The 9,187-nt window shown below is 42.9% G+C and overlaps 1 long non-coding RNA gene across 1 annotated transcript; it reads left to right on the top strand.

The window, feature by feature from the left end:
• The first annotated feature begins 256 nt into the window (after window positions 1-256).
• Window positions 257-5,621, top strand: LINC00424 (long intergenic non-protein coding RNA 424). The gene is made up of 2 exons (NR_047040.1): window positions 257-282; window positions 5,195-5,621. It is a non-coding gene; the product is annotated as a long intergenic non-protein coding RNA 424 (long non-coding RNA).
• Window positions 5,622-9,187: the final 3,566 nt, after the last annotated feature.

Here is a 9,187-nt window from a genome sequence, read left to right as displayed (position 1 = left end):
AGGAAGACACTCACTGCACTACTAGCGGCTCAAAGGGTAAAAAACAGTGCTAACACCGTGGGGTTAGCTTCTTGCAAACCTTATCCTCCCCCAAAAAAGGTGCTTTATAAAAGATTCCAAGCACCTGAAACATTGTGATGAGGCCGTGTCTGTTGCCTTTAGACAGCAGGAGGGGCTTGCCAGTGCACCTCACAAGAGCTCGCTGCTCTGCGTCAGTGCTGCCAAGGAGCTCCTTCAGGGTTGAGAGATGAGAGAGCCAAGTCCGTGATTACTAGATCTGAGGTGGTTTGCACAATTTTAAGAGCATCTCATTCTTTTCTATACATAGTAGTTTCTCTCTCTAAGCCCAGTGATGATCCTGTGTGTCAGGAAGAAATCGTTTTCATCCTAAGGAACAGCCGCATGAAGTGCACACACTCCCTGCACATGACAGGTTCTCTTTCTGGACTGGGAAATGACTGCTTTGAGAATTTCATTTTAAAGGGACTTGCTGAGCTTTTAAGCGTTGAAGAGGCAATGAGGTCTAAGGGATAATAATAGTTGTCATTTATTGAGCACTTAATATTTGCCAGACAGTCGGCTACGTACTTAACATTTATTATCTCATTTAATTCCCACATCAACACACAAGGAAGATAATATTATTATCCTCACTTTTATGGATGATAAAATCGAGGCACAGAGAATTTCAGTAACTTGGTCAAGCTCACACAAGCAGTAAGGGGTGAAGGTGGGGATTCGGATCCCAGCCCGTCTGAATTCAAAACATTAACCTGGCGTCACAGAACCTGGATTCCATCCTCCACTCTGCCCCTGGCTCCTGTTTATCCTTAAACAAATAACTTCCCTTTTTCTGTATCACATTGCTACTTAATTCCAACTAAGACTCACATTTGCTATCACTACCAGATGCCCCTACTTGTCCAGTTAAAGCATTTGTGTGTGTGGAGAATGTTCATCACTGCTCCCCTAACTGAAATATTTAACCAACAAGCAAGGTTCTCATCTTTGCTCTCGTAGCATCACTACTGAATGCTATCACAAATCAGAGCTACCATTTTGGCTTATTAGTTAAGATCCCTGATTTTATTGAGGACATTGAAACATGAATATGTTAAAAATTGTACCCAGTGCTGCTCAGCTTGTAAGTGGTGGACATGGAATGAAACCCAAGTCTGAGACTCAAAAGTTGACTTTGCCGGGCACAGTGGTTTATTTGGGAGGACAAGGTGTGAGGATCCCTTGAGGCCAGGAATTCGAGACCAGCTAGGGCAACATAGCAAGACTCCATAGCATCTCTACCAAAAGTAAAAAAAAAAGAAAAAGAAAAAAAAAAGCTAAGGGTGGTGGTGCAAGCTTGTAGTCCCAGCTACTCAGGAGGCTGAGGTGGGAGGATCACTTGACCAGGAGTTCCAGGCTGCAGTGAGCTATGATTGTGCCATTGCACTCCAGCCTGGGCAACAGAGTGACACCCTGTCTCAAAAAATAATAGTAGGCCAGGCACAGTGGTTCATGCCTGTAATCCCAGTGAGAGGTGAAGCCAGGGGGACTTTCTGGGTCAAGTGGGGACTTGGAGAACCTTTCTGTCTTACAAGAGGATTGTAAAACACACCAATCAACACTCTGTAGCCAGGATTGTAAAACGCACCAATCAGTGCTCTGTAAAATGCACCAATCAGCAGGATCCTAAAAGTAGCCAATCACAGGGAGAATTGGAAAAAGGGCATTATGATAGGACAGAAAGGGAACATGGGCAGGGACAAATAAGGGAATAAAAGCTGGCCACCCCAGCCAGCAGTGGTAACCGGTTTGGGTCCTTTTTCGCAATGTGGAGTCTTCGTCCTTTTGCTCTTCCCAAAAAACCTTGCTGCCTCTTACTTTTTGGGTCTGTGCCATCTTTAAGAGCTGTAACACTCACCGTGAAGGTCCGTGGCTTCATTGATGAAGTCAGTGAGAATCATGAAGTCAGCCAGAGTACTGGTAGGAACCAACCCCAGACACACCAGCACTTTGGTAGGCTGAGGCAGTTGGATCACCTGAGGTCAGGAGTTTGAGACTGGCCTGACTAAGATAGTGAAACCCCGTCTCCACTAAAAATGTAAAAGTTAGCCAGGCATAGGGACGGGGACCTGTAATCTCAACTACAGGGGAGGCTGAGGCAGGAGAATCACTTGAACCTGAGCGCCAGAGGTTGCAGTGAGCTGAGGTCGCATCATTGCACTCCAGCCTGGGCGACAGAGTGAGACTCCGTCTTTGAATAAATAAATAAAGTGGACTGGAGCGCTGTGCTTTGCTGCTGTCCATGATCTCAATGGCTACTTTCTAGGAAGGTTACTACACATTTTTCATTGAATTATTATACCACTATTTCAAAAAAAGACATGCAGAGGGGAAATATTTCTATTTCTGGCCCATTTTTCTCTATCCCCAGAGTCCGGAGCTGGCTCTCCTTTACCAGAGTCAGATCATGGTCATCAGACACGTCCCATTCTCACTCAACCCAGGGGCAACAGAGTGCTGACCACAAAGCACGTGCTTAATGAGTGATGAGTGACCCAAAAAACAAATCAGAAGATGGGCAAAAATTCATCATCTAAGGGACTAGAAGAAATGGGATATCCTGTGAGGTTCAGAAAAGCCCAGCAAGGGTCAGGGGACACCACTGCAGAAGAATCATTGTCAAATCATCGCATAGGAAAACCCAGCAGCCTCAGAGGGGCTCCTGCAGGCCAAGCTCATGTACAGTGGGCCTGTGCTCTTCCTTAGCAGAAGGGCGTGGCCAGCCCTTGCCCACTGTCCTTACGGCGGGCTTCAACCTGGGCTCAACCTGCACTCTCTTCCCATCTGCAGCCCTGGAGGGAATCGACTGCCAGTTTAAGGAGTCATTGTCCAGTTCAGACTCCAGAATACGAAACGTAGAAACTGACAGGAAATGACCAAGTATAAATTGCAACTTGTAAAGAATCATCTTAAATCCTGGCACTGCGTTCAAGGGGGAGTTTGAGCAAGGAATGTTGCTAAAACGGCTAAAACCAGGAACTCAGAATATCGGTAGGTGTCAGGGGAAGAAAAAGGGGACATTTTACTACTCTATTAGAAGCAAAATTTCATCTAGCAAAACAACAAAGTGAGCACAAATGAACAAAATAAGCTTGGACTTTGGAAGTGCGAGGAATCACTCATTTTAGATCAAAGCTGTTAAAGATAAACACACTATAGGGAAAGATTCGGTCACGGGATGAAGGGGAGGCTGAAACTTTCTTTGTTCTATTTGTTTCTTCCAGTCGTCCTTCCTGAGGAGAATTCTTGTGTTTCATACCACAGTAATCAGTAAAAGTCCTTCTTGGGAGGGAGGAATGGGGGAGGCCGGCTGCATAAAAGTGGTCTCTGTTCTGTTTCTTCTTCTATTATAGCTATCATTTGCTGAATACCTATCACAGGCCAGGTGCAACGCTAGTTGTGTGCATATCCTTCAATAACCCCACAAGCCCCAATTTGACTTAGAAAACCAAGCAGTGAGTGCCTGAGAGGCTTGCCCAAAACCTTACAGCTAGCAAGCAGTAGAATGGGGGATCAAATCGAGTTTGGCTGATCCTACAGCCCACACTCAAAACTATGTTTGCAGACAACTCATCACCAATTGCTTGAGTTTCTGCAAGGTATTGGTAAATGTTCAATAATGACATCAAATAATGTAAACTGGCAGTTCTCAAAGTGTGATCTGGTAGCCCTTCAAGTCCTTGAAACCCTGTCAGGGCATCTAGGCGGTCAAAACTATCCTCGCGTGCCTCTCCCGCTCTTATTCTGTCACGAACGTACAGTGGCATTTCCCAGAGGCCACGCGGCATGTGCTGCCATCTTCCTTCCGATGGTCATGACATATGTGCTTGTAGATATTCTTGTGGTTTAAATTTTTCTCAACTTCAATTTCTAAAATGGTCAGTGGTGACAGATATAACTCAGATAAACAAAGGCTCATTTGGATCCTCAGTGATTTTTTTCTTCAGTAATATTTAAAAGCATAAAGAAATCCTGAGACCAGAAAGTGTGAGAACAGCCCATTTAAATCAACTGGATCAGACCCTAATCGAGAGATTTGTTAGCAGTTTCTCAGTGCCCACCTTTTATTGTTCACTGACCACACTAAAATGTGGAGATCCTATTTAATCTGAAGTAGGTGTGGTACAATTTATAAAATGGGTAAGACTTGCAGTTTTCATAAGGAGGTTTATATTGCATACTTGAAATCTGGAGGTTTTTCAGGAATGTATCATAAAACCACCTTCCATAAACTGTCTCTCAGGAAACAGTAATGATAACACAGCCAGTCAACTCTCATTTTTAAGCAGGTTATTGCAAACTTACAAACTTTCTGGAATCATCATTTTTATTATTATTCTTAAGTGAGGCAGAAAAGGCTTCCAATACTTTTGAAGTCTTATCAGCTGAGTTTTCAGAGGTATTTACTTTCTTCAATTTTCCCATCACTAATAATTTGCTACAATTTTCACCAGTTATGATTTTGTACTGCTAATGTTATAACACAGGCCCAGGCGGAGAGTGGTGTTTGATTGAAATAGAGCTTTATCTAGGAGGGTTTTAGCTGCTTGTCTTAGCTCATGTTAAAATTCTACTTCAATAAGTTATCTAGTTAACAAAATAAATAGAAAAGTAAAAACTTGCTCTTTAATTCATAATCAGGAGACATGTAGATCCAAATGAATATGAAACTTAAGCAAAATTAAGAGTTATCTTGAATTTGACAATATTAAAATTATAAAAATAACATTGTGTATATTACACAACTGAGGAAGATGGACCTGGACAATAGTGACTTTTAAAATAAATTAATACGCTTGGAAGAACACATGCAAATCTCTGTTGTCAGCAGCATGTGTCAAAGCCTGGAGAATTCCAGAAACACTTGGAAAAGTACAAAATGAACATTTTTTTAAAATTCTCCTAAAGTGCAAGTTTCTCCAAGCAGAGACTTTTCAAGAGAGGAGACTCTAACTTTGATAAATCTAAACTAGAACATAGAGTACTTACAAACAAAATATACAAAAGACATTGTATCAACTAGGAAATATTTTAATAATCACTATGACATCATTGCAAAGTTAAATTATTTTCTCTGTGTTGTATTTTCTCTGGAGAGATTTGCCCTCAACTCCTTCTTATGCCCTTGTTTCAGTTCTACAATAGAACCTAAAAACTGTTTCCAACCCATCACGACATCACCCTGAAAAATGAGTGAGCAGTCACTGAGGCTTCCCAAGTTTGAAAATTCCACAAGACTGAGAGCAAATGTTTTGTTGAAACTGAAGTCAAGATGAAGTCAGCTGACTCTCAAACCTCAGGTGAAGTGACTCAGGGCCCACACCCCGGTTCTGAGGCAGGGACACATTTTACTTGCAGCACCCTGCAGCTTTGGATGAGGCTGCAACCCGGGTGAATCCTGGCCCTGCTATCACGTGGGCAGCCACTGCATCCTCCGGAGGCTGTGGATGGGAGTCACCATGCTGGGAGGTCTGGAGTAAGATCTGTGCCATCTGCCTTGCCCAATCCTGTACCAGTGCCTGTGTTTCAAAATCTCAAAATAAAAGTGATTATTCTTGCAACACATCTAGGTGTACTAAACGAATACAAAAAAGCCTTCGATTATTGCTGCACACATCATTACAAGATGAAATAGGAGGGAAAAATAAGCTTTAAAAATACATTTAAGGCACTGAATATTTGTTCTGAATTGAATAGAATATTTTATTATAAAACGGGCCTCTGTGCATTTTCTAAAGCCACAGTCTTACTCATCTATGGGAGAAGTAAGAACACTGGGCATGAATGCAACTGTCTTTATAAAATTTATTTTCAAATTCCTTCAACAACGGGAGGATAGGAAAAACCTGGAAGCAGACAGCAGGTAGACTGTTTCTGTGTTGTAACAGTGGTCTTCATGATCATTTTACCAGGGGCAGATGTGTATCTGTCCTCTCCGTTTCACTAGTGCAGGCTGGCTTTACTTTGGTCCATCAACATACTTTTGTCATTCTACTACATGCAGGACACTGAGGAAAACAGGAATTGCACAGGGCCTCATTCAGAGAGTAGAAGAGACGGACAAGCAAATGTTGAAACTCAAAATTCGAAGAGCAATATGAGGAGTATCAATTGCTAGGAGAAACATCTGCTCCAACACACATACACGTGCCTTTCTGCAGTCTCCACGGGGAGGAACTTCCATTAGACTAACACTCCCTCCTTTCTCCACCCCTCTTCCTCCCCTGGAGAGAAGGAGTCACACTTGTCCCACAGGAGCAAGCACCTGGCCTGTTCCTGCCCTCTCCTGCCTGGACTCACCTCTTGCACAGAGCTCAAGCCCTGCCTGGTCCCCAAGCTGGAACAAGGCTCTGCTCTGGTTTTGGCTACACTGGGAAGGAGCGGGGTATGTGTAATTTGGGGTAAAATATTAACAAACCTACTTATCCACAGAGCTATATTACATCTTCTACTCTGACATTTTTTGTTTTTTCTTTTTTGTTTTTTTTCTCTCTCAATTGATCCAAACACAGGCGAGGAAGAGAAGTATATTTATTGACTCCCTAAATTTTCAATACCTGGTGCACAGACTGGGAACCTTAAGAAATAGACGGGACTGGCACTTGGAGAATGAAATAACATGTAGAGGAAGGAGACAGCAACCACGAAGGCAGGCAGCTCTCTGGCTTAAGCCATGGTGACTATCGATCACGTGGGATTCTGACTTTTGCAGGTCTCTGTAGCTCCTGGTATTTCATAACAGGCTGGAATTCAGCAAATGCTGGCCATTTGGGGTATTAACAAGCAGGAGGACAAATCGGAGTCTTAGAAAGCAGGCTGGCTGCTCGGGAGTGTTGGCACAGGCCTTAGCAAGACAGGTCAGCTGAAGTAAGGGTGTGGTTCACTGCCTGTGCTGTTTCTCAACCACGCTGAAAGGGTGGGAGACTGGGACACAGGGACTTTACACTGCACACATTTGAGCCCTTGTGTGCCACAGAGCTCTAGGTGATGTTTGCCTTTAACTTATTTTCGACAAATGTGCTTCCCAAATCCCATTACCTGAATTCAAGACCAAACAAGGACTCTGAGAGGGACTGGGCCCTTATTACTGTGCTGCTCAACCAATGAATATTAAAAGTCACGTCCATGAACCATGAGATCTCAATTGCACAGCTTTGATGAGTTCTATTATATTCTGACTTTACGCTTCAGACATGTGAACTGTGATTTCACAAGATTAGTATATTTTATTAATAACGACAGACAAAAAGAATTGCCTTGTTCACTGGTATATTCCAAGTGTGTAGAAAAGTGTCTTATCTTCAGTAGGTACTCTCATTTAACAAATGCCTGATCAGGGCATTTATTTTTTTAAAAAAAAGGCCACAATCTTCAGTTAAAGTAAAGAAACAACTCAGTAAAATGACTGCAAGTCCAAAAGCTAAGAATGCATTTTTTTGTTGTTGTTGTTTTGATCTTTTTTGGAGATGGAGTTTAGCACTTGTTGCCCAGGGTGGAGTACAATGGCAGGATCTCGGCTCACCACAACCTCTGCCTCCCGGATTCAAGTGATTCTTCTGCCTCAGCCTCCCGAGTACCTGGGATTACAGGCATGCACCACCACGCCCAGCTATTTTTTTTTTTTAAGTAGAGACAGGGTTTCACCATGTTGGTCAGGCTGGTCTTGAACTCCTGACCTCAGGTGATCCACCCGCCTTGGCCTCCCAAAGTGCTGGGATTACAGGCGTGAGCCACCGCACCTGGCCAAGAATGCATTTTTAAAGGTCTGTGCCTAGAATACTCTGTATCTAGGAATTCAATTTGCTTGGACAATCAAAGAGAAACTAGTTTGGCTTGAAAAGCAGGCTTCAATCTTATTATCAGATTGGGAGTGTTTCTTTTTGTAATGAAATCAAAATAAAGGAAGACAAGAGAGGTACCTTTAAAAGAGATGAGAGATTTCAGAAGCTGATTAGAGACTAAAGAAATATGAAGTGGAAATGACATCTTAATGGCAGCTCACAAACGGAAAAAAAGACATACTTGGGGTTCATTGTTTGAAAAGAGGTTATTGGAAGAGAGGGCAGGATTTTAGTTGTTACAGTTCAAAAGGATAAATGGGGCCCAAAAACATTCAATGAACAAGATGAGACAGGCTCTCAGTAAGCATCCTGGATGGTTTCCCCAGTAGAGCCAGGGTCCCAGAAACTCCTGGGAATGCCATCTTAAAACCATAGATGAGCTAGGAGTCTGCAGGGGGCTCCACCCCCTGAAAACAGTGTAAAAGGGCTTCACACTTCATGTTCCAGAAGGATCCAGATAACCTGTAACCTGAAAATTATTTCGCTATAAGTACCTACAGATGGTAAGTTTAAAAGTAACTAAAAAAGCCGTTATATGACAGGTGAGCTTGCAAGAAAGAAAGAGAAAATTCAAAAAACAAACATAAGAGACAAATGAAATTGCATGTGCCGATTCATGTGTGCCCTGAGAGGTTGCCAGAAGGGGATGTCAGGTTGGTGGCCCCTCGGCTGGGGTTTCCATACTCACACATAGCAATAGGCAATAAGGCCATGGTCCTATTCTCGGTGGGGAGTCCAAACCAAAATGGCTCCAGAGAGCCAGATCCCTCAAAGGACAGCAGCTTCAGGATTCTCTCACTGAGACTGGGGTTCTCGCCTGCCTAGGCCGGGGCTCTAGGAGGAAAAATAAAACAAAAACCCAAGATTATAAAACCCCAGACTACAAATAACTTGTGCTTGGAGTTGGAATTAATCTACCAACATGGGCTAAGAATCCCACAAGCTGATAAGCATACAGATTAGTCCCAGGCCAGCCCCAGGACACCACACAAAAGCAGTCATAGAACAATGTTGTGGGGACGAACCTTCAACCTCACTCCCAACAGGATTCCAAAGGCCAAAGCTCTGCTGATGAGTTCACAAGCCCAAACTATGAAACCCAAGAAGAAATAATCCGACAATAGCAAGAGGCAGCACAATCAGCAAATCGGAGCATAGAAGCTCAGGAACTACAGAGAACACAACAATTTCTATTGATAACAAAATGGGCAATAAAAATTGATAATACGGGCATATTAAATAGATTTAAAACATAGCAGAATGTCTTATAACCATTATAAAAGAAT

The sequence above is a fragment of the Homo sapiens genome, chromosome 13 (assembly GCF_000001405.40).
Source record: "Homo sapiens chromosome 13, GRCh38.p14 Primary Assembly".
NCBI classification, from domain to species: Eukaryota; Metazoa; Chordata; class Mammalia; order Primates; family Hominidae; genus Homo; species Homo sapiens.
The sequence above is the reverse complement of the archived record's forward strand: the minus strand, read 5'-3'. Positions and strand labels throughout refer to the sequence as shown.